The 24058-nt window shown below is 40.9% G+C and overlaps 2 protein-coding genes across 10 annotated transcripts in view, besides 3 other annotated features; one reads left to right on the plus strand and one right to left on the minus strand.

Annotated features, from left to right (window-relative positions):
- OOEP (oocyte expressed protein) overlaps positions 1-920 on the minus strand; it is a 26609-nt gene extending 25689 nt beyond the window's left edge. For all 3 annotated transcript variants that reach the window (NR_190285.1, NR_190286.1, NM_001428256.1), the window contains exon 1: positions 103-920. Coding sequence is in view for 1 of the 3 variants with exons in the window: in NM_001428256.1 (NP_001415185.1) it covers positions 103-127 (25 nt within the window). In the remaining 2 variants the exon portion in view is untranslated. The remainder of the gene's footprint in view (positions 1-102) is intronic.
- Positions 202-702: an enhancer, noted in NCBI's record as "H3K27ac hESC enhancer chr6:74104168-74104668 (GRCh37/hg19 assembly coordinates)". NCBI's record gives its function as "activates a minimal SCP1, AML or CMV promoter by ChIP-STARR-seq in naive H9 embryonic stem cells {active_cell/tissue: H9 hESC(naive)}" and the evidence as "EXISTENCE:reporter gene assay evidence [ECO:0000049][PMID:30033119]".
- DDX43 (DEAD-box helicase 43) lies at positions 585-23323 on the plus strand. Of its 7 annotated transcripts, NM_018665.3 has the most exons (17): positions 585-912; positions 3446-3501; positions 5991-6120; positions 7616-7747; positions 10447-10528; positions 11436-11592; positions 12121-12239; positions 13262-13372; positions 13717-13858; positions 15005-15105; positions 17962-18049; positions 19415-19542; positions 19727-19836; positions 20305-20443; positions 21254-21341; positions 21870-22008; positions 22944-23323. In NM_018665.3, the coding sequence occupies exons 1-16, from the start codon at positions 663-665 to the stop codon at positions 21981-21983; spliced, it is 1947 nt and encodes a 648-aa protein (NP_061135.2). In that variant the 5' UTR covers positions 585-662; the 3' UTR covers positions 21984-22008; positions 22944-23323. The 7 variants fall into 7 exon arrangements, with proteins under 7 accessions (NP_061135.2, XP_047274937.1, XP_047274939.1 ...); XM_047418981.1 differs by lacking the exon at positions 21254-21341; XM_047418983.1 differs by lacking the exon at positions 7616-7747.
- Positions 4103-4760: an enhancer, noted in NCBI's record as "OCT4-NANOG-H3K27ac hESC enhancer chr6:74108069-74108726 (GRCh37/hg19 assembly coordinates)". NCBI's record gives its function as "activates a minimal SCP1, AML or CMV promoter by ChIP-STARR-seq in naive H9 embryonic stem cells {active_cell/tissue: H9 hESC(naive)}" and the evidence as "EXISTENCE:reporter gene assay evidence [ECO:0000049][PMID:30033119]".
- Positions 9749-9933: a silencer, noted in NCBI's record as "fragment chr6:74113715-74113899 (GRCh37/hg19 assembly coordinates)". NCBI's record gives its function as "represses an EF-1alpha promoter that drives an FKBP-Casp9 reporter gene in an ReSE screen in K562 erythroleukemia cells {active_cell/tissue: K562}" and the evidence as "EXISTENCE:reporter gene assay evidence [ECO:0000049][PMID:32094911]".
- Positions 23324-24058: the final 735 nt, after the last annotated feature.

Genomic DNA, 24058 nt, shown 5'->3' on the forward strand with positions numbered 1-24058 from the left:
TATCAAAATGCAGCTTACATAGCGAGGATAAATGCTGTTTTGTCAATCTGTTGTTTCAAGTTTTTTATGTGTGGATTGGGTCACCTTGTAACAGTGACTTACCTTTATGGGTCACGGTTGAAAACATTTCCGGTGCAGTGGCTGACTGTAATCCCAGCACTTTGGGAGGCCGAGGCTGGAAGATCACTTGAAGCCAGAAGCCAAGAGTTCAAGACCTGCCTGGGCAACACGGCGACACCCCGTCTCTATTTAAAAAGAAAAAAAAAAGTTTCCAAGGCACTGAGATGCCAGGAACCCGAGGTGTGTGTCCAGTAGGGGAGGGAGCAAATTGGGCGTTTGGAAAAAGTCCCACGCCTGGAAAGGAATACACAGTGGGGGGGTGGGGGGCGGGGCACATCGACTACTTCAAGGCACACTCCCACGGTTCAGAAAACCGATTGGCTAAAACTGGGAAAGTCCCGCCCACAACGCTCACTGGCCAATGGCTGCGTGAAATCAGTGCGAAGTGGGCGGGATAGAGAGCGTGGGCGGGGGGGCTAGCCTCGTGCGGGCTCCTTAAGTAGCGGCTGCGTGGCTTCCCTGGCACGCTACTCTTACGACGTCACGGTCAGGTGGTGCAGAGCTGGACGGCAACGACGTCGGACGCGCCCCTTCTTGGAACAATGTCCCACCACGGAGGAGCTCCCAAGGCCTCTACGTGGGTCGTTGCTAGTCGGCGAAGCTCGACAGTGTCCCGAGCGCCAGAGAGGAGGCCGGCGGAGGAGTTGAATCGAACAGGTCCTGAGGGATATAGTGTCGGCAGAGGTGGTCGCTGGAGAGGCACCTCTAGGCCCCCGGAGGCCGTGGCCGCTGGTCACGAGGAACTGCCGCTGTGTTTTGCTTTGAAGAGCCACTTTGTTGGCGCGGTAATCGGTGAGAATGGGAGTGGCTGGCAGGGCAGGATAGGTGGGGCCAGGGGCGGAGCCTGGGCGAAGGCATTTCCTCCCCACTGCCTCACCTCCAATCAGCTGCCACCTAGTGAGGTTCAGGTCTCTCCCAGAGCTATTTGTAAAACCTGGGGATAGAGTATAATTTAATCTGGCCGGGCGCGTTGGCTCACGCCTGTAATCCCAGTATTTTGGGAGGCCGAGGCGGGCGGATCACCCCAGGTCAGGAATTCGAGACCAGCTTGGCCAACATGGCAAAACCCTGTCTCTACTAAAAATATATATATTAAAAAAAATAGCTGGGCGTGGTGGCGCGCGCCTGTAATCCCAGATACTCCGGAGGCTGAGGCAGGAGAATGGCTTGAACCCGGCGGCAGAAGTTGGCAGTGAGCTGAGATCGCGCCACTGCACTCCAGCCTAGGTGACAGAGCAAGACTCCGTCTCAATTAAAAAAAAAAAAAAAAAGTAATTTAATCCACCTTTTGGTGTTTATACAGACAATGTATTTGGGAGAGCAACTCCTAGAAGACTTATGAAATCTTAGGGCTGAAGAGGGATGCTTAGAACAGGCCTTTTAACAGACAGCTAACCCCAGAATGAAAAACAAAACTTAATCAGTCTTTCTATGAGTACCATTTAGAGCCAGAAATCAAAGAAAAGCTATAAGGTCATTGTAGGGCTGCCTAGAGCAGTTGTATCTTGCTTTTAGTTTCCTTAATTTTTAAAAAGTTAAAAACTTTTCTTACTACATCTTGAGTGTTAACATTCAATTCTGAATTTTTAATTTTTTTCTTTCTTTTGATTTTTTTTTTTTTTGAGGCAGCTCTGTGGCCCCAGCTGGAGTGCAGTGTGGCGTGATCTCGGCTCACTACAACTTCCACCTCCCGGGCTCAAGCGATTCTAGCACCTCAGCCTCCCTAGTAGCTGAAATTACGTGCGCCACCACACCTGGCTAATTTTTGTGTTTTTAGTAAAGATGAGGTTTCACCATATTACCCAGGATGGTCTCGAACTCCTGTGGATCCACCCACCTCGGCCTCCCAAAGTGCTGAGATTACAGGCGTAAGCCCGGCCCATTTCTGAATTTTTTTGAAAAGCATTTAAAAATGATTAGAATGATTACCCCATTGATTGCCATTAAGCCCGAGTATAAATTGCCACATTTTACCTATTAGGTGTATTTCACCCTTTTTAAAACCTGAGAAAAATGAATAGATGGAGGCTGCTACAAAATAGTGCATTGTAAGACTAATTGCTGTACTACCCAGAGACTCATTGGCCTTTCAGAAGGCTTGGGCTCAGATCTGAAGAATGATGCTCCAAGAAAGAAAGCCACTAGGTTTGCAATAAAAATCACTTAAGTTAATACTTAGCAGATGAAAGGGCACTGTGCTACAGAGCACTCACTTGATGTTGGATCTGGATCCATCTTTTTTATTGTAAAAAATGAAATACCCTCTTTTAAACGTATATCACAATACTAATAATAAGCACAATGTTGTATCCCAGATCTCTGGAACTTGCATGACTAAAACTGTATACTCATTGAACAGCTCCCCATTTTTTCCTGCCCCATCCCAGGGACCCACCATTTACATTGTTTCTGAGTTAGATTACTTTAGGTAATCCATATAAGTAGAATCATGCAGTAATTGTCTTTGTAATTGGCTCATTTCTCTAAGAATAATATCCTCCAGGCTTACCCATTTTGTAGCATGAGACAGGATTTTTTTCCTTACTAAGGCTGAATGGTATTCCATTATTAAGTATATACCTTACTTTATCTATTAATCAGTCTATGATAAATGGGTAGCTTCCACCTTTTGATTTCAGTAGTGTTATTATGAAAATGGAAGTGCAATATATCTTTGAGACTCAGCTTTAAATTCTTTTGGATGTATACCCCAAGTGAGACTGCTGGATCATATGTTAATTCTGTTTTTAATTTTTTAGTTAATCTATACTGTTTTCCATAGTGGCAGCACCATTTTCAATCCCACCAACAGTACACAGGGGTTCCAATTTCTCCACATTCTTACCAACACTTTTTTTCTGTTTTTGATAATGGTCATCCTACCAGATGTGAGGTGACAATCATTTTGTGGTTTCGATTTGCGTGGACCTGATTAGTGATGTTGAACATCTCATGCCTGTTGGCCATTTGTATGTCATTGGAGAAATGTCTATTCAAGTGTTTGCCCATTTTTCAAAACTTATTTGTTGAGTTGTATGAAAGAGTTCCAATTTCTACATCCTCTCCACCAGTTTGGACCCAATTAAGTTTTGTGCAAGCTGATACAGAATCCATAGTCTCCACCTGTCTGGGATAAGAGTCTCCTAAAACCCACCAAAATTTGGAATAGAACCTCTTACTTCCCTCTTTCCAAACAAAAAATGATTGTTGAACCCTAGGAGCATTTGGGGGGAAGAACTAGAGAATGTTTGTTGAGGAAAATGGGTAAATTTTCAACTTACTAATTTCAACTTATAACAATATATTCCTTTATTTTTAAAAACAGGTCGTGGTGGGTCAAAAATAAAGAATATACAAAGTACAACAAACACCACAATCCAAGTAAGCCATCTGTGTTTTTCGGCCCTTAAGAGAGCATCATGCATTTCTAAGGGAGCACCTAACTCTACTTTTCTTTTTAAGACAGCCTCATTCTGTCTCCCAGGCTGGAGTGCAGTGACGTGATATCAGTACAACCTCTGCCTCCTGGGTTCAAGCAATTCTCCTGCTTCAGCCTCCTGAGTAGCTGGAATTACGGGTTCCCACCACCAAGCCCAGCTAATTTATTTTATTTTATTTTTTTATTTTTAGTAGAGACGGGGTTTTACCGTGTTGGCCAGGCTGCTCTCAACTCCTGGCCTCAAGTGATCCACTTGCCTTGGCCTCCCAAAGTGTTGGGATTACAGGCATGAGCCACTGCACCAGGCCTTAACTCTAATTTCTGCTGAGTTATTAACATACTAGGGTAAATTAGGTAAGTTGCCAAAGTTCTTCATACTCCTTATTCTCAAGAAGCCACCTGAATTTTAAGCTGTTCCAGGTGTAGGTTTTGGGACTCTTGGAGGTAAAAATCTTTTTTATTTTTTTGAGACAGAGTCTCACTCTGTCGCCCAGGCTGGAGTGCAGTGGCACGATCTTGGGTCACTGCAACCTCTGCCTCCCGGGTTGAAGCAATTCTCCTGCCTCAGCCTCTGGAGTAGCTGGGATTACAGGCCCCCGCCACCATATCTGGCTAATTTTTGTATTTTTAGTAGAAATGGGGTTTCACCATGTTGGCCAGGCTAGTCTTGAACTCCTGACCTCGGGTGATCCGCCCACCTCTGCCTCCCAAAGTGCTGGGATTACAGGCGTGAGCCACCAGGCCCAGTCGGAGGTAAAAATCGTTAGAGATAATCTGCATAAGAATGAGATCACTGGAATATTCGGAGGTAAAAATCGTTAGAGATAATCTGCATAAGAATGAGATCACTGGAATATTCATCATGTCCAAAAGGTCTTCCTTCCAGAGAGAACCCCTTTCCTCAAACTTTGGCTAGCTCTTGTATTCTCAATCTTAGTGAATGGTAGCAACATTCACTGAGTTTACAAGTTTGTAATCTGACTATCCACATTGGTATTTCCTTATTCTCATTCACCGCTAGGTCTTGACTATTTCTTGTACTTCTCAAGGGGAATGTCATCATTTGCCTTCCCCACTAACTGTATGTCCTGCTTCCATTTGTATCCTCTAATCATTCTCCACTGTGGTCAGAACAATAATTTTATTTTTTTATATTTTTTTGAGACGGAGTCTTGCTCTGTCGCCCAGGCTGAAGTGCACTGGTGTGCTCTTAGCTCACCGCAACCACTGCCTCCTGGGTTCAAGAGATTCTCCTGCCTCAGCTTCCAGAGTAGCTGGGATTACAGGTGCCCTTCCAGCTCACCTGGCTAATTTTTGTACTTTAAGTAGAGACAGGGTTTCACTATGTTGGCCAGGCTGGTCTCAAACTCCTGACCTCAAATAATCCACCCGCCTCAGCCTCCCAAAGTGCTGGGATTACAGGTGTGAGCCACTGCGCTTGGCTAGAACAATCATTTTAAAACACAAATTATTTGTGTCCTTTTCCTATGTGAAAGCCTTTCATAGTATCTCAGGCCTGTAAGTCTAGACTCCTTAAAGTTGCTGACTTGATTCTGGCCTGTTCACTCTCTCCAGTGTCCTCTCCCCTAATTCCTTGAGTACTCCACCCACTTCCTGACATACGCTGCTACCATAGCTTTTTCCTCATAAATAATTCCTTCTCACCTTTCAGGGAAGTCTAAGGCCCCCATTCTGTGTAGCTGTCCATTTCCATAGCATCCCATAATGGCCTCGTTTCAGCACTCATACAGAGTTATAGTGCGTGTAAATACTGTAGTTGATAAACATTGTTTGAATTGCCAACCTAAGACAAAATTTGGTGTATAGTATTTTCTAGATAAATATTGAATCCATTAGGGTATTTGAAATTATGGATGTTGATAGGTGTTACTTGTAGATTCTATTCACAAAATGTGTCAGTCTTGTAAACGTAAGCCCCTGACAGTATACATGAGTTAAGGATAGAATCCCATCAAGTTAAAAATTTACCTAAGTAACCTGGCAGTTCAGTGAACTCTCTATATAGTGCATAGATTATGTCATTTCAGCCCTACAATTCTGTAAAATTAGCGAAACAAATACCATTTTATAGGTTGGAGACCTCAGAATCAAAATAATATTACCTGTCAGGTTAGTGCCTTAATTATTTCTCTACACTATTTGCTGAGTTTATTCCCTAGCTATCCAATTTTAAATGTTCAGGTTGTCCTGCCCCTCTCCATCTGACTAGGAGGTAAATCCCAGAGTAAATATAAGTAGTATTCCTCTCTAACTAGAAATTTAGACATTGATTGGTGGTAATACTGTATTTACTTTATACTGTAATAGATTTTGAAGTTGAGTGATTGTTGGAAGGGGTTAGGGGCTTAGGGAACTTTTTATGTTTTTTAGGGAAATTTTAAGTCTCACCTCTTTTTCCCCTTGTACCTAGATAATACAAGAACAACCAGAATCATTAGTCAAAATTTTTGGCAGCAAGGCAATGCAAACGAAAGCAAAAGCAGTGATAGACAATTTTGTTAAAAAGCTAGAAGAAAATTACAATTCAGAATGCGGAATTGGTAAGTAATTTTCTCCCACTGAACCCCTTTAAAAGTTTTTAATTTCATTCAGTGTTATAAGCCATTATACCTGATTTCACTTTCTGATTCAAAGCATTAGGCTGCCATAAATGCAGTCTTAATGATTTTTTACTATGAATGAAAGCCCAGAATATTTTTCCTCAAATTAAAATACCAGAGCTCTATGTTCATGCCTAGCAGTTTTACTTTTAGCCACAGGTAAGTGAAAATGAAATAACCCTTTATTTTTATTTATTTATTTTTTGTCTTTGTATTAATCTAGTTCTCACAAGCAGGGAAATAACCCTTTAATACACACACTTTAGTGTTAGTGGGTAGAGTAAGGATTGGTCCCAGGATCCTAACCCTAGTCTTGTCTTCAGATTCATGGCTGACATTGAAAACTGCTTAAATATTTGGTTATTTTAAAAATCTCAGATCTGTTTAGAATAGAGAAAACAATTACTGAATCATATCTAGATGCAATGTGAAAGTAGAATAGAGACACCTGGGTTTAGAAGGCACCATTGCCTTTTAGTGTTTCTTGGGGAAAAAGACAAGGTCTAAGATTCTATTTTTATATCTGACTCATTTATTTATTTTTATTTTTATTTTATTTTTAAAATTGTTTTGAGACAGGTTCTCACTGTGTTTTCCAGGCTGGAGTGCAGTGGTGTGATCATGGCTCATTATAGCCTTGACCTCCTGGGCGGGAGTGATTCTCCCACCTCAGCCTGTCAAGTAGCTGGGACCACAGGTGTGTGCCACCACACCCAGCTAATTAAATTTTTTGTAGAGTAGAGATGGGGTTTCACCACGTTGCCTAGGCTAGTCTTGAGTCCTGAATTCAAGCGATCCTCCACACCAGCCTCACAAAGTGCTGGTATTACAGGAGTGAGCTACCAAGCCTGGCTCTTCATCTACTCATCTGAGATAATATCTGCTTCCCAGGACTATTATTCTAACGACTGAGTAATGGGTATGACAATATTTTAGCAAACATTAGACTTGTGCTATTTTACTTACCTTCTCCAATAAAATTAAATTTTTATAAGTTGTTGAATGATAACAAATGACAAGGTTGTCATGTTAATGTAGTACAGAAACCCCAAATTTTATATTTTAAGCATTGTCTGTTTATTAAAAAACAAAATAGAGGCCAGGCATGGTGGCTCACGCCTGTAATCCCAGCACTTTGGGAAGCCAAGGTGGGTGGATCACAAGGTCAGGAGATCGAGACCATCCTGGCTAACACGGTGAAACCCCGTCTCTACTATAAAATACAAAAATTAGCTGGGCGTTGCGGCGTGTGCCTGTACTCCCAGCTGCTGGGGAGGCTGAGGCAAGAGAATGGCGGGAACCCGGGAGGTGGAGCTTGCAGTGAGCCGAGATCGCGCCACTGCACTCCAGCCTGGGGGACAGAGCGAGACTCCATCTCAAAAAAAAAAAAAAAAAAAAATAGAAAAAAACTAATCGATACAAATGTTTTTAACAGATACTGCATTCCAACCTTCTGTTGGAAAAGATGGAAGCACAGATAACAATGTTGTTGCAGGAGATCGGCCATTGATAGATTGGGATCAAATTAGAGAGGAAGGTTTGAAATGGCAAAAAACAAAGTGGGCAGGTCAGTGCTGCTTCCTAATATTTACATATATTGTTTCTGTTAACTGCAGTTTTTATTCTCTGTACAATGTCTGTGCTTTATTTTTAGTAATGAAATGTATATGAAAATAGTAAAATCTAAAATGCTGCAATTAGTCCCTAGGTTATGATAGTTTCTATGTTATCAGCTGTCATTTATGCTGTAGGGGAAATATTAAACCTATTTATAGTCTGTCAGCGGTAATTCACTGCAAAGGGCTAATAAAATAGGAAAAAATCAGTCCCAATGGGAAAATAGGAAGGGAGTAAACATGCAAACCATAAGTTAACATTGTTGCTGTGATTGAGTAAAAATAGATCTTGGAGTATCCTGGTTGACAAGAGCAAAAAAAAAGGGAAAGCCATTAAATCATAAGAAGCATTACAGTTCTTGGCAGCATTTTGTTTGTTTGTTTAAATTTTGTTTTTGATTTTTATTTTTCAATTTAAAGATGAGATCTCACTATCCTGTCCAGGCTAGTCTCGAACTCCTGGCTTCAAGTGATCCTCTCCTCTTAACCTCCCAAACTGCTGGGATTACAGATGTCAGGCACTGTGCCCAGCCTTGTTTGAATTTTATTTTATTTTTTGAGGTAGGGTCTTGCTCTGTCACCCAGGCTGGAGTGCAGTGGCGTGATCTTGGCTCACCACAAACTCCATCTCCCAGGCTCAAGTGATTGCTGTGCCTCAGCCTCCCAAGTACCTGGGATTATGATGTGTGCCAGCAAGCCCAGATAATTTTTATGTTTTTAGTAGAGACGGGGTTTCACCATGTTGGCCAGGCTGGTCTCAAACCCCTGGCCTCAAGTGATCCACCTGCCTTGGCCTCCCAAAGTGCTGGGATTACAGGCGTGAGCCACCCCACCCAGCCCTTTTGTTTGAATTTTAAATGAGATTTCTCACGTGGAACATTATATATGGGGGATAATGCTTCATTATTCAAGCACTAGCCTTGGCTCTCGGGAGGAGGCAGCAATACAACATCTTTTATTTAAAATTCAAAAGCACTAATATGTTACCAAAATATTGACAGTTATTGCTACTATGTTGGTCAAGACCTCTGCAAGTTAAGTTTCCTGTGTGGCCTAAACAGTTTGTGTTGGGAAGATTTGGGATCAGAGACCAGGGAAAGGATTTAAGTTTGGAAGAGGTATAATAAGCTTTTAAGAAATGTAGTTAGGCCGGGCCCAGTGGCTCACGCCTGTAATCCCAGCACTTTGGGAGGCCGAGGCTGGTGGATCACCTGAGGTCAGGAGTTCAAGAACCAGCCTGGGCAATATGGTGAAACCCCATCTCTACTAAAAATACAAAAATTAGCTGGGCGCGGTGGCACATGCCTGTAATCCCATCTACTCAGGAGGCTGAGGCAGGAGAATCGCTTGACCCCAGGAGGTGGAGGTTGCAGTGAGCCGAGATTGCATCATTGCACTCCAGCCTGGGCGACAGAGTAAGACTCCATCTCAAAAAGAAAAAAGAAAAGAAAAGAAAAGAAATGTAACTTAAGAGAGTAGACCAAGGATATAAGTTTAATTTCTAAAAAAGTAATTGGATGGACCCTCAAAGAAAAGATAATCAAACTATTATGTGTGGGAGTATATTTATCAGTTGTGGTGTTTGATGTCTTACAAAGCATGCTTCATTTTAATTTTTATTAAATTTTTTTTGAGGGTTTCACTCTGTTGCCTAGGCTAGAGTGAAGTAGCAAAATCACAGGTCATTCCAGCCTCCATCTCCCAGGCTCAAGTGATCCTCCCACCTCAGCCTCTCAAGTAGTTGGGACTACAGGCACATACCACCATGCCAGGCTAATTTTTTTTTTTTTTTTTTTAAATGGAGTTTCGCTCTTGTTGCCCAGGCTGGAGTGCAGTGGCGCAATCTTGGCACACTGCAACCTCTGCCTCCTGGGTTCAAGTGATTCTCCTACTTCAGGCTTCTGAGTAGCTAGGATTACAGGCGTCTGCCACCATGCTCAGCTAATTTTTTGTATTTTTAGTACAGATGGGGTTTCACTATGTTGGCCAGGCTGGTCTCGAACTCCTGACCTCAGGTGATCCACCAGCCTTGGCCTCCCAAAAGTGCTAGGATTACAGGCGTGAGCCGCCGCCGCCGGCCCCTTTTTTTTTCTGAGACAGAGTTTCACTTTTGTTGCCCAGGCTGGAGTGCAATGGCGCTGTCTTGGCTCACTGCAACCTCTGCCTCTCTTGAGTAGCGGGGATTACAGGCATGCGCCACTGTGCCGGGAGAATTTTTGTATTTTTTTGTTTTTAGTAGAGATGGGTTTCACCATGTTGGTTAGGCTCGTCTCAAACTCCTGACCTCAGGTGATCCACCCGCCTCAGCCTCCTGAAGTGCCAAGATTACAGGTGTGAGCCACTGCGCCTGGCCACCAGGCTAATCTTTAAAAATTTTCCGTAGAGACAGGGTGTCACTATTTTGCCCAGGCTCAAGTGATCCTCCCATGCCAGCCTCTCAAAGTGCTGGGATTAGAGGTGTAAGCTACTGTGCCTAACCTCCAGAAAGGGAGATCTCTTCGATGGGAGCAAGCCTCGTTGGCAAAGTGTAGAACTATCAAATGGTATGCATGGTAAATAAAATATATTGTAGTATGATTTCTGTAGCTTTGACTAAGTATTCATGATGCTGTAAAATTTATCAAAGTGTGGATTTTCGCCTTTGTCCCAGATTTACCACCAATTAAGAAAAACTTTTATAAAGAGTCCACTGCCACAAGTGCCATGTCAAAAGTAGAAGCAGATAGTTGGAGGTGGGTAGTTTCATTACCTAGTTGTGTAAGTATTTGTATAGTTACGTTATTGGTATTAACACTTCGGGCAAATGTGAAATGATATTTGAAGGCTACGCCTTCAATATTCAAATGAAAATGTGTCAACTTACATGATATTTTAGAACATTGTTGTCTAGTAAAACTTCCTGCAGTGATGGAAAATGGTCTATATTTGTGTCTAATGGAGTAACTGGCACTTAAAGTATGGCTGGTGTAATTGAGCAAATGAATGTTTATATGAAATTGAAATAGCCATGTGTGGCTAGTGCCTACTATATTGGACAGCAATTTTAGAGAATTATTTCTCCAATAGTTGAATTGAAAAAAAAAAAAAGATCTAATCTTGTTAATTTCTTAAACTCTTCAGTCCTTGCTACCTGAAATTGGAAGGTTTTAATTGCAATGGTTTTTCTTACTATTAAAGTCTGATAAAACTAAGAGATGCATGGAATAGCAGAATGGTTAAGGTGAGGAGCAGGGTAACTTACTGTATGATCACCTGTCAAATTGAGAATACTTCCTAACACATAGGATTGTTAAGGATGCATTAATGAAATATGTGTGGAACATCGTAGGCCCTCAATGTTTGCCAAATCTGGTTTTAATTTATGAAGCATGATTTTCAGGCTCCTCATCTTTGATCCATGAAACATTCATTGACCTACTAATGTATAATGTTTTTAAGTTTCCCATTGCAACTATTCTCAGATAAGAGACAGATGGACTCCTGCTTCTATTTCTTTATGCATTTCATTATAACTTCCCTGACAGTCTCATTTTAATCAGTTGCAGTTGAATTTCTAGATAAGACCAGCACTGATTTTGGAGAATGTCTTGCTTGGGGAGTAAAGTGAGGAAAGCCACTGATGTTTTTTATTCTTTGAAGGAAAGAAAATTTTAATATAACGTGGGATGACTTGAAGGATGGGGAGAAACGACCTATCCCCAATCCTACCTGCACATTTGATGACGCCTTTCAATGTTATCCTGAGGTTATGGAAAACATTAAAAAGGCAGGTTTTCAAAAGCCAACACCTATTCAGGTATGCTTTCATTAATTACAATATTTCACTCAATGTTTTTCTTCGAAACCAGTGATATCTGATTGTTAGAAGACTCCAGGGAGCAACTGTCTTAGCATTCCACCAGCACCTTCTCCCTAGAGTTCAAAAAATCTTTGTTGAAAGAAGTTTGGAGCTGGGAAAGAAGGAACAGTTGGCAAAAAATATGTACTTTTTTTTTTTTTTTTTGAGACAGTTTTGCTGTTGTTGCCCAGGCTGGAATGCAGTGGTGCAATCTCGGCTCACCACAACCTCTGTCTCCCAGGTTCAAGCAAGTCTCCTGCCTCAGCCTCCCTTGTAGCTGGGATTACAGACATGTGCCACCACGCCCAGCTAATTTTTGTATTTTTAGTAGAGACGGTTTCTCTATGTTGGTCAGGCTAGTCTCGAACTCCCGACCTCAGGAGATCTGCCCGCCTCGGCCTCCCAAAGTGCTGGGATTACAGGCGTGAGCCACTGCGCCCAGCAAAAGATGTACTTTTTGTGTTAATGTTTATCATTCCGTTTCAGTCACAGGCATGGCCCATTGTGTTGCAAGGAATAGATCTTATAGGAGTAGCCCAGACTGGAACAGGAAAGACATTGTGTTATTTAATGCCTGGATTTATTCATCTGGTCCTTCAACCCAGGTAAGAATTCCTATGGCTGGTTTCTTCTTATAGAGGTTTAATAGATTTAGATATCAAAAATGTAATTAAAGTTTCTTTACCTATTGCTTGATCCAAAGGTAATGCCTAGCTTCAGAGAAGATGCAAGGAATTAAACACTTAGATTGTGCTGGTGAAAGTATAAACTGGCAAAACATTTTTAGGAGGCAATAGGTAATATCTACCAAAAGCCTTAGTAGTGAAACAGTGGAAACTGTTTAAACTATGTCCAATACACTTATCTATTCCATGATAAAATATTTGACATTTTAGATGTTAATGAAAAGACCATCTTAAACAAAAGGCTGGTATTGGGAAGTTGGGTTTTAGGGTGTGTGGCTTTTTAAAATTTCCCTACTTTATGGTAAATATATATTGGTTTTGTAATAAGAAAAAGTACATAGAAACTAACACTAATCTCTCAGTAAAGCAATCTTAAATCTGAGAAAATAATACATTTTCTTATGGGGAATTTGGCATATTCTGTGTAATATCAGCCATTTTTTAGGTACGTAGATCATAATTAGCAAAGTCTGTAATATATAGAGAGACTACTTTTAATCATATACCTTCTCACAAAAAGGCATAGTCTGACTATGTCTAACTGATACTCATTGCTACAAATTTTTTTTTTGAGACAAAGTTTTGCTCTTATTGCCCAGGCTGGAGTGCAGTGGCGTGATCCTGGCTTACTGCAACCTCCGCCTCCTGGGTTCAAGTGATTCTCCTGCCTCAGCCTCCCAAGTAGCTGGGATTACAGGCGCCTGCTGCCATGTCTGGCTAATTTTTTGTATATTTAGTTGAGATGGGGTTTCACCATGTTGGCTAGGCTGGTCTCAAACTCCTGACCTCAGGTAATCCGACTGCCTTGGCCTCCCAAAGTGCTGAGATTACAGGCGTGAGCCACCACGTCTGGCTTGTTGCTACAAATCTTGATGGTACTGAATAAATGTACCGTGCATCTGAGACAAGTAATTTAATATTAATCTGTTTTCTCTCCAAAGCCTTAAAGGTCAAAGGAATAGACCCGGCATGTTAGTTCTAACTCCCACTCGGGAATTAGCACTTCAAGTAGAAGGAGAATGTTGCAAATATTCATATAAAGGGCTTCGGAGGTAAGTAATTTTTTTTCCCATTCCTTCACCAGTATCATATTTTAATCATTTGTAGCTTTACACATCTTCCCCATCATTTTTCACACATTCAGAGAATCCAAATGGCTCAGCATGGGTCAGGCATTTAGCACTACTCTAATCAGTCAGAGCCTGGGTCAGGTGATGGTACAAATATTGCTCTTTAGGATACAACATTATGGATTGATGGGTGTACATAATTCTCAGAAAGGGGCAGATACCCCTAAAGGTACCTGATAATTGATTTTTATCCCTTTTATTGGATTTTAAGTTGTGATGAGATATTCTGTGCCTAAACATTAACCTTTAGATTTTTTCTTTTTAAGTGTTTGTGTATATGGTGGTGGAAATAGAGATGAACAAATAGAAGAGCTTAAAAAAGGTGTAGATATCATAATTGCAACTCCCGGAAGATTGAATGATCTGCAAATGAGTAACTTCGTCAATCTGAAGAATATAACCTACTTGGTAATCATGGAAATAGGGGTTTGAGATGCTGGGTTCAAAAATAACTGAACTGGCCGGGCGCAGTGGGTCACGCCTGTAATCCGAGCACTTTGGGAGGCCGAGGCAGGTGGATCACCTAAGGTCAGGAGTTCGAGACCAACCTGACCAATATGATGAAACTCCGTCTCTACTAAAAATACAAAAATTAGCCAGGTGTGGTGGCATGCACCTGTAATCCCAGCTACTCTGGAGGCTGAGACAGAATCACTTGAACCTGGGAGGCAGAGGTTGCAGAAAGCCAAGATCATGCCATTGCACTCCAGCCTGGTCAACAAGAGCGAAACTCCATCTCAAAAAATAAAAAATGACTGAACTATTATTTTATTTCTCTTCCCTCCCCTTGAGCTTTTAATAGTTTTAATCAACTCCCAAGTGCTTGGGTATCAGTTTCTTTTAGAATGGCTGTCGATTTTATTTTTTATTTTTTTATTTTAAGACACAGTTTTGCTCTTGTTGCCCAGGCTGGAGTGCTGTCGCATGATCTTGGCTCACTGCAACCTTCGCCTCCCAGGTTCAAGTGATTCTCCTGCCTCAGCCTTCCAAGTAGCTGGGACTGCAGGCTCCCACCACCACACCTGGCTAATTTTTTCTTTTTAGTAGAGACGAGGTTTCATCATGTTGGCCAGGCTGGTCTTAAACTCCTAACCTCAGGTGATCCGCCTGCCTCGGCCTCCCAAAGTGCTGGGATGACAGGCGTGACCCAACACGCCAGGCTATGGCTGTCGATTTTATAATGGCTGTAGGAATATTTCTCATTCTCTTTAGCATGTTGAAAGAATTAAGACTTCTATTTGAAATTATCATGCATGTTTACTTTAAATTTTGGAAAATAGGTACACAGTAATTAAAATCTACTTGGATATTTTAGACACTTAAAATTTTGTTTAAGGAGATTTGGAAGCTATTGGAAAGCCAACAAAAATCCATGTAGACAGTGTACAATGACAAATTGCTTAGTATTCTGACCTCTGGAGAAATTAGAATCGTGGCTTAAGTAATAGGGGAAATGAGAAAAGCCTTTCTTAGTGTTCTACTAATAAAGAAAGCATATGTATTATTACCTGCCTCCCATATCTAATCTAACCACATTCTTTTTTGTCAATGCAGGTTTTAGATGAAGCAGACAAGATGTTGGACATGGGATTTGAACCCCAGATAATGAAGATTTTGTTAGATGTGCGCCCAGATAGGCAGACAGTTATGACCAGGTACGTATATGCTTAATTACTGTGTGCAGAATAGAAATCAGTGGAATAGAATCTCATTCTGTTTGGATTTTCCCACAATATTTGAGCATTACTTGGAAGTGTTGAAATCTTTAGGTGAAAGATCTCATAACATTGGAAGTAGAACAGTGTAACAATAAGTGCTTATTCATGACTATTGGGTTTCCTAAGTTACAGATAGGGATTTCAACACAAACATTTACTTATCATAGTAAGGTCTCACTTTTGAATAAAGGGTTCACTTGTCTAAGGAGATAAGCATTTGATTACTGAATACTTATTGCTCACAATAAAACAGGAAGCAATGATTATTTGAATGAGTGATCTATAAAGAATGATATCTCCTAGGCTTATATCCTTTATTAGTATAAATAACAACATTGGCTGGGCAAACTGGCTCACGCCTATAATCCCAGCTCTTTGGGAGGCCGAGGTGGGTGGATCACCCGAGGTCAGGAGTTTGAGGCCAGCCTGGCCAACATGGTGAAACCTCGTCTCTACTAAAAATACAAACTTAGCCGGGCATAGTGGCGCACACTTGTAGTCCCAGCTACTAGGAAGACTGAGGCAGGAGGATCGTTTGAACCTGGGAGGTAGAGGTTGCACTGAGCCAAGATCATGCCACTGCACTCCAGTCTGGGCAACAAGAGTGAAAATCTGTCTCAAAAAAAAAAAAAAAAGAATGATATATCCTGGGCTTATATACTTTGTCTTTATTAGTATAAATAATATAAAATTTAAAAAATACAAAATCCCCTCACATAGTTTTATTACAAATAACCTTCCTATTTCAAGAAAAGTGAATGTATTTATTTATTTTGAGACAAAGTCTCGCTGACACTCAAGCTGGAGTGCAGCAGCGCGATCTCGGCTAACTGCAACCTCTGCCTCCCGGGTTCAAGCAATTCTCCTGTCTCAGCCTCCTGAGTAGCTGGGACTACAGGCACACGTCACCATGCCCAGCTAATTATTGTATTTTTACCGATGGGGTTTCGCCATGTTGGCCAGGCTGGTCTCAAACTCCTGACCTCAGGTGATTCATCTGTCTAGGCCTCCCAAAGTGCTGGGATTACAAGCTTGAGCCACGATGCCCAGCCCAAGAAAAGAGAACTTAGATTTTATTGAATTACTGTGAAGGTATACAAAGTGGTCACTTTCATTATTTTATATATAGTTGAGGAAACATTTAAATGCAGATATTCTTTGATCAGTATATTTTGAAGGTTTGTTTTGTTTTGCGTTTTGAGACAGGGTCTCACTCTGTCACCCAGGATGGAATGCAGTGGCACCATTTTGCCTCACTGCAGTCTCAGCCTTCCCAGCTCAAGCGATTCTCCCACCTCAGCCTTCTGAGTAACTGGAACTACAGGTGCATGCCACCACACCCAGCTCATTTTTGTATTTTTTGTAGAGACAGGGTTATCACCATGTTGCCCATGCTAGTCTTGAACTCCTGAGCTCAAGTGATCCACCCACCTAAGCCTCCCAAAGTGCTGGGATTACAGGCATGAGCCAACAACCTTTTAAAAGATTTTTATGGCCAGGCGCCGTGGCTCACGCCTGTAATCCCAGCACTTTGGGAGGCCGAGACGAGCGAATCACGAGGTCAGGAGATCGAGACCATCCTGGCTAACACGGTGAAACCCCGTCTCTACTAAATTTACCCGGGAGTGGTGGCGGGCGCCTATAGTCCCAGCTACTCGGGAGCCTGAGGCAGGAGAATGGCGTGAACCTGGGAGGCGGAGCTTGCAGTGAGCCGAGATCACGCCACTGCACTCCAACCTGGGTGACAGAGCAAGACTCCATCTCAAAAAAAAAAAAAAAAAAAAAAAAATTTATTTGGCTTAAATACTTGGTATTGCCTGCTGACCCTATGAAAAATTGGAATTTTTTTGTCGTTTATAAAGGCCAGGAGATAAAATTAACCTAATAGTAATCCCTTTTAGTACCTTTTTTTCTTTTCTTTCTTTTTTTTTTTTTGAGACAGAGTCTCACTCTGTCACCCAGGCTGGAGTGCAGTGGCATGATCTCCACTCACTGCAACCTCTGCTTCCCAGATTCAAGTGATTCTTCTGCCTCAGCCTCCCGAGTAGCTGGGATTATAGGCACGCACCACCACGCCTGACTTATTTTTGTATTTTTAGTAGGCACAGACTTTCCCCATGTTGACCAGGCTGGTCTCAAACTCCTGACCTCAAGTGATCCGCCTCTCCTCAGCCTCGCAAAGTGCTGGGATTACAGGCATGAGCCACCACACACGGCCTTAGCTTTTCATAGATTAGTATTTAGTTGAAGGTGTACAGGTATCCTTTGGTTCATAAAAACCTAGTATTTATTTACTTATTTATGAGACGGAGTTTCGCTTTTGTTGCGGTGGCTGGAGTATAGTGGCACAATCTTGGCTCACTGCAACCTCCGCCTCCTGGGCTCAAGCCATTTTCCTGCCTCAGCCTCCGGAGTAGCTGGGATTACAGGCGTCCGCTAACACACCCAGCTGATTTTTGTATTTTCAGTAGAGACGTGGTTTTATCATGTTGGCCAGGCTAGTCTTGAACTCCTGACCTCAGGTGATCCACCCGCCTTGGCCTCCCGAAGTGCTGGGATTACAGGCGTGAGCCACTGGGCCCAGCCAAAAACCTATTTATTAAACATATTTGTTTCATCTAATAGCTTTACAGTAGTTGAGTAATTAGTGAATTAACTGTTAAATTTGCCTTACTTATTGAAAAAATAAGTACTAAATTTGTCTTTCATGAGTAACTTGGTTCATAGCATGCTTAAGGAAACATAGTAATGTTTTTACAACAAAATTGTAATGTTTGTAACTTGTATTCCCAGTGCTACATGGCCTCATTCAGTTCATCGCCTCGCACAATCTTATTTGAAAGAACCAATGATTGTCTATGTTGGTACATTGGATCTAGTTGTAAGCTTTTTTTTATTACTATTGTTTAACATTTCTTATGAAAATTCTGAAGATAGCTAATTTTGGTGTGCCTAGTCTGCCCACTCCCCAATTTTAGGGCAAATCACACTTGCATATAGTTTTAATAGAGCTGTAATACGATTATCTCATTTGAAATTTCAATAATCAGCTAATACCATCAACCTCTAGTCAGGGCCTATATATGTATAGAGAGAGAGAGAGAGAGAGTGTGTGTGTGTGTGTGTTTGTGTCAGAGTCTCACTGTATTGCCCAGGCTGGAGTGCAGTGGGGTGATCTCGGCTCACTGCAACCTCTGCCTCCTGGGTTCAAGTGATATATATATATAGTGTGTGTGTGTGTGTGTGTGTGTGTGTGTGCGCGCGCGCGTGTGTGTGTGTGCGCGTGCGTGCGCACGCATGTGCAAGTGATATATAGCGTGTGTGTGTGTGTGTGTGTGTGTCAGAGTCTCACTGTATTGCCCAGGCTGGAGTGCAGTGGGGTGATCTCAGCTCACTGCAACCTCTGCCTCCTGGGTTCAAGTGATTCTTGTGCCTCAGCCTCCTGAGTAGCTGGGGTTACAAACATGGCTACTACTCCTGGCTAAGTTTTGTATTTTAGTAGAGACAGGGTTTTGCCATGTTGGCCAGGCTGGTCTCAAACTCCTGACCTCAGGCGATCTGCCCCCTTGGCCTCCCAAAGTGCTGGGATTACAGGCGTGAGCCACCGCACCCAGCAAAGTCAGGGTTTATATTTTTCTGATACCTAATTTTAACCCTGTTAGAATCAGGGTCTAAACGTAGGTCTACATATATACATAAATATAAGTCTGTTCCCTTTATGAAGTTAAGACTGAATATTGGGTTCATGTGTTGTCAGTGGGAACCCTCCATTATAATATAAAGTTCTCTTTCTGGCTTTTTGCTTAATCATTAATAAATGAAATTGGCCTTTCACTTAATCATTAATAATAATGGGTCATTGCTTACACCCCTTATTTCATTAGAGATTTACAAATGGTGATCCATTTAACATTTGTTTTATAAAATGGTTAGCGACATTGCGCCACTGCACTCCAGCCCTGGCGACAGAGTGAGACTCTGTCTCAAAAATAAATAAATGAAATAAAATGATTAGAGACAAATAGTTGGTTGAAGGAATGGTACCAATAGTATTTTGAGGTTAAGTGACATCTAAGATACAAATCTTGAGTAGAAACAGGTAATTTTTTTAGGACGTCTGCCATTTTGCTTAGCAGTTTATTAAAAACATTAACCAATGAGAGAGAAGATGCATTTTGAGCTGATGTATGCGGTCTCACCCTCAATCATGATGACCTTGATGAACTATGTTCTTTGAATCCTTTAGGCTGTAAGTTCAGTGAAGCAAAATATAATTGTAACCACCGAGGAAGAGAAATGGAGTCACATGCAAACTTTTCTACAGAGTATGTCATCCACAGACAAAGTCATTGTCTTCGTTTCTCGAAAAGCTGTGTAGGTATTTTTTCTTGTGTGTCCATTATAATTAATTAAATTGATTAGGATCATTTCTATTTGTATACTAATTCCAAATGGGGGTGATAAGTCTGTTATGTTACTTTAGATTTTTGCTAACAGAAGTAAAACTGGTGGCATTAGAATAAGCACCTAAGAATGCTGAGTTTATCTTTTGCTTCAGTGCGGATCACTTATCAAGTGACCTAATACTTGGAAATATATCAGTAGAGTCTCTGCATGGAGATAGAGAACAGAGAGATCGGGAGAAAGCATTAGAGAACTTTAAAACAGGTATGTTTATGTAATTAGTATTTCATACAGTTTAAAATTAGTGCAATACCTGGGCTTGGCTGAGTAACATCTTTTCATGAAACCCATTTATTTCTAAGATCTGTCCTCACCTTCTGTATCCTACAACTACACTCATTAGAGCTCTAAACATTAATCTGCCTTTAAGTATTAAATAAACACAAGACTTTAAACTTGGATATCAAGGTATTAATATGCAACAGAAAATATATCTGAAGTTATCTGAAAAATGTATCTTTCTGTCATGGTTCGAAGGGTTTAGGACCCATTTGCTGAACCATGGTATCTTGTAACTTGCCGGCAGTTACTTTTCCATTTTCACAAAGTAAGCATTTTAATGTAAACAGTAAGAAATAAAATTGATTAAATTAGTTAGGGCAAATATTATTTTTAGATCTTGGGTTGGTTTATACCAGAATGGTTCAGTGTTCATTTGGCTTTACTTTTTAGGCAAAGTGAGAATACTAATTGCAACTGATCTAGCCTCTAGAGGACTTGATGTCCATGACGTTACACATGTCTATAATTTTGACTTTCCACGGAATATTGAAGAATACGTACACCGAATAGGGCGCACGGGAAGAGCAGGGTAAGTAAGCTTAGTCCACCCATGAAAGGCCAATTCTAGATTCTCCTTATTCCTCTCACAAACTTCTTGCCCAGAAAACCATTTTATTCTATTACCTATAATTTTTCAGCTACTTCCCAGATTATACTTGCTACTTTATTTATCCCTGTTCATTTGGCTTGTTCCAGACTCAACCAGATTCCATCCATGATTAGCTTCTTATATCTGGTTCTATGTGTTTTATATCTAGTGTCACCGCTGAGCTCTGTACCCAGTGGTTACTCTGAAGGTTATTGACAAATTGGTATGGATATGAGACGACCTTTTTCCTCTTAAGAGAGCTACCACTGGGCCGGGCACGGTGGCTTACGTCTGTAATCCTAGCACTTTGGGAGGCCGAGGCAGGTGGATCATGAGGTCAGGAGATTGAGACCATCGTGGCTAACACGGTGAAACCCCGTCTCTACTAAAAATACAAAAAATTGACCTGGGCGTGGTGGCGGGCGCCTGTAGTCCCAGCTACTCGGGAGGCTGAGGCAGGAGAATCACTTGAACCCATGAGGCAGAGGTTGCAGTAAGCCGAGATTGCGCCATTGCACTCCAGCCTGGGCAACAGTGCAAGACTCCATCTCAAAAAATAAATAAATAAATAAATAAATAAGAGGTACTATCATATACCCCCTTTGCTGTTTAAACCACAGCAGATTTAGATTCCAAATCTGTTTGACCCTAAATCTTAATACATTCCAGCTTCTGTGAAAAAGTTTTCATTTGTCTTATTCTGTATTAACTGAATAATGAATACATGAGTTTTTTTCCCCCACACTAAAGGAGGACTGGTGTTTCCATTACAACTTTGACTAGAAATGATTGGAGGGTTGCCTCTGAATTGATTAATATTCTGGAAAGAGCAAATCAGGTGAGACTATGCAATTCATTAGAAATCTACCTGTTATCAGTATCTCAGTCAGTTATGCCGGGTACTATGGCTTGCTATTTATCAGGAAGCTTCAAATAAGTTTTCATCACGTTTTGAGGGCTTTAGCATGGCAGTGATAAGAAACTATGGGAGCATATAACTGGGAAACTTAACCTAATGGGGGTGAGCAATGAAAGCCCCGCCAAGGAAGAAATATGTAGAGTGGAGGTGGGGAAAGTTGTAGAAGATGGGGTAAATGTTCCAGCAGGGGGAACATATTCAGGCTCAGAGGTAAGAAAGAATATGTAGAAAATGCTACCATATAAAGGCACATTAAAGGCACTTGGAAGCAGCTGAAGCAGCAAATTTTATAGCCTGTAGATGGATGTAGGGTTTAATCGAGATACCTGTTTCTGTTTAAAGGATGTCATGTAACCAGCTGTGCGATTATCTGAAATGATTTGGATGCATTTTAGTGTTGTAGAAAAGAACTCAGAATCCTAATAACAACACGTTGAATAATTTCAGAGTATTCCAGAGGAGCTTGTATCAATGGCTGAGAGGTTTAAGGCACATCAACAGAAAAGGGAAATGGAAAGAAAAATGGAAAGACCTCAAGGAAGGCCCAAGAAGTTTCATTAATGTCTTCTGTACTAGTGGGGTAGAGGTAAAAGTTCAATAACATATGGACTTTAAAATGCCTGCTTACTTAAACTAGGCTTTGTTAATAATGTTTATTGCAATGAGCATGATCTCTAAGTCATTAACATAATAAACTAGGTGTTACTCATATCTATTACTTAATCCTTCTGGGTATACATGGAAAAGAATGAAAGCCAGGTCTTTTTGTACTCATGTTTATAGCAGCACTATTCATAATAGTCAAGGGTATACAACCCAAGCATCCATCAGTGAATGAGTAGATAAACACAATGGAATATCATTCAGCCCTAAAAAGGAAGAAAACTCAGTCATATAGATGAACCTTGAGGACATTATGCTTAGAGAAATAAGCCAATTACAAGGACATACTATATTATTACACTTGTAAGAGGTACTTAGAATAGTACAATTCACAGTGACAAAGTAGAATGGTGGTTACCAAGGACTTGGAAAGTGGGTAGGGGGAATTGTTTGGTAGAGAGTTTTTCATGGCATGAAAGTTTTGGAGGCCATACACAGTGGCTCACGCTTTTAATCCCAGCACTTTTTGGGAGGCCAAGGCAGGCGGATCACTTGAGGTTAGGAGTTTGAGACCAACCTGGCCAACGTGGCAAAACCCCGTCTCTATTAAAAATACAAAAATTAGCCAGGCATGGTGGCGCCAACCTGTAATCCCAGCTATATGAGAGACTGAGGCAGGAGAATCGCTTGAATCTGGGAAGTGGAGGTTGCAGTGAGGTGAGATCGGGCCACTGCACTCCAGCCTGGACAACAGGACGCTGTCTCCAGTTTTGGAGATTAACTGCACAACAATGAATATACACTACAGAGTTGCACAGTTAAAAATGGTTATGGTAAATTTGGGTATGTTTATTTAATCACAAGCTTTTTAAAAACAATGTTGGGGTCAGCAATTTACATTTTTTTTCTATTTTTCAGAATTCAAGATTTTTTAGAAATATAGTAAGACGGAAGTATTGGACATGTTGGCAGTATGAAGAGACCGGACTGATTTGACTGATTCTTAAAATAATAGTGTTTGAAAATATAGAATCCAGTGTTTTATACTTTCTTTAATAAAAATAGAAGTATTTAAACTTGGAAGTTGTTTCCTGGATTTTTATTAAGGAGTGTAGCATTAGAATGTTTTTCTTTTAATCTTTTAAACTGTCTCCTGTAATTTTGCTGTATGTCATAAGGCCAGTCTTTCAGAATTTAATGTTCAGATTTTGTCATGGCAGTGAAAAAGATGTTTTCAAACAAAGAATCAGCACCTGAAAAAATACTGTTAATAAATGTTCGTTTCTGTGATAAAAAGACAAGTTGATAATTTGTCTTTCTGTATAGCGTTTTAATTTTGTGTTTGCTAAATAATATTTTATTGGGGTATACTTAAATTATCCTTTACCCACTTTGAAATGAAACAGTAAATTATTTCATAAGGTCAAAATATGCAACAACAGTTTACCTTTTCATTTTAGCCTATGGCTTCACGCTAAAACCCTTGGAAAATCAAATTGCACTTCCATGAAATTTTCTTTGATCAAATTACCATCATCCTTCCCTTACAGTTTTATGTTATGTATTCCACCATAAATGAGGGTAACTTATATTAACTTTCAGAATTTATGAGTATATACTTGTGTATAATTAGTTTAAGCCTTCATCACGTGAATTTTTCATTACTGCAATAATTGCTTCCTGTTATTAGCGATAAGGTTAAATAGAGAACCTAATAGAGGAAAGAAAATAAAGGTAAAAGCAGAAATGAATAAATTGGAAAACAGTTCAGTGAAAACCAACAGCAGGTTCTTTAGTAAGACCAATCAAATAAGTTTCTGGTTAAGTCTGGGAGTGGGGAGTTGTAAGGATGTAGAGACATTAAAAAATGAGAACAATGCTGGGCGCAGTGGCTCATGCCTATAATCCCAGCACTTTGGGAGGCCGAGGCGGGAGGATCACGACATCAAGAGATCAAGACCGTCCTGGCTAACACGATGAAACCTTGTCTCTAAAAATACAAAATTAGCTGGGCGTGGTGGCACATGCCTGTG

The sequence above is a fragment of the Homo sapiens genome, chromosome 6 (genome assembly GCF_000001405.40).
Source record: "Homo sapiens chromosome 6, GRCh38.p14 Primary Assembly".
Taxonomy (NCBI): domain Eukaryota; kingdom Metazoa; phylum Chordata; class Mammalia; order Primates; family Hominidae; genus Homo; species Homo sapiens.

Excerpts from the sequence above, each read along its gene's own strand:
- DDX43 (XM_047418981.1), top strand. The coding sequence starts at position 663 with ATGTCCCACCACGGAGGAGCTCCCAAGGCCTCTACGTGGGTCGTTGCT. Across the intron at positions 18,050-19,414 it reads TTGGTACATTGGATCTAGTT|GCTGTAAGTTCAGTGAAGCA; the intron begins GTAAGCTTTTTT and ends TGAATCCTTTAG. Across the intron at positions 19,543-19,726 it reads TTCGTTTCTCGAAAAGCTGT|TGCGGATCACTTATCAAGTG; the intron begins GTAGGTATTTTT and ends CTTTTGCTTCAG.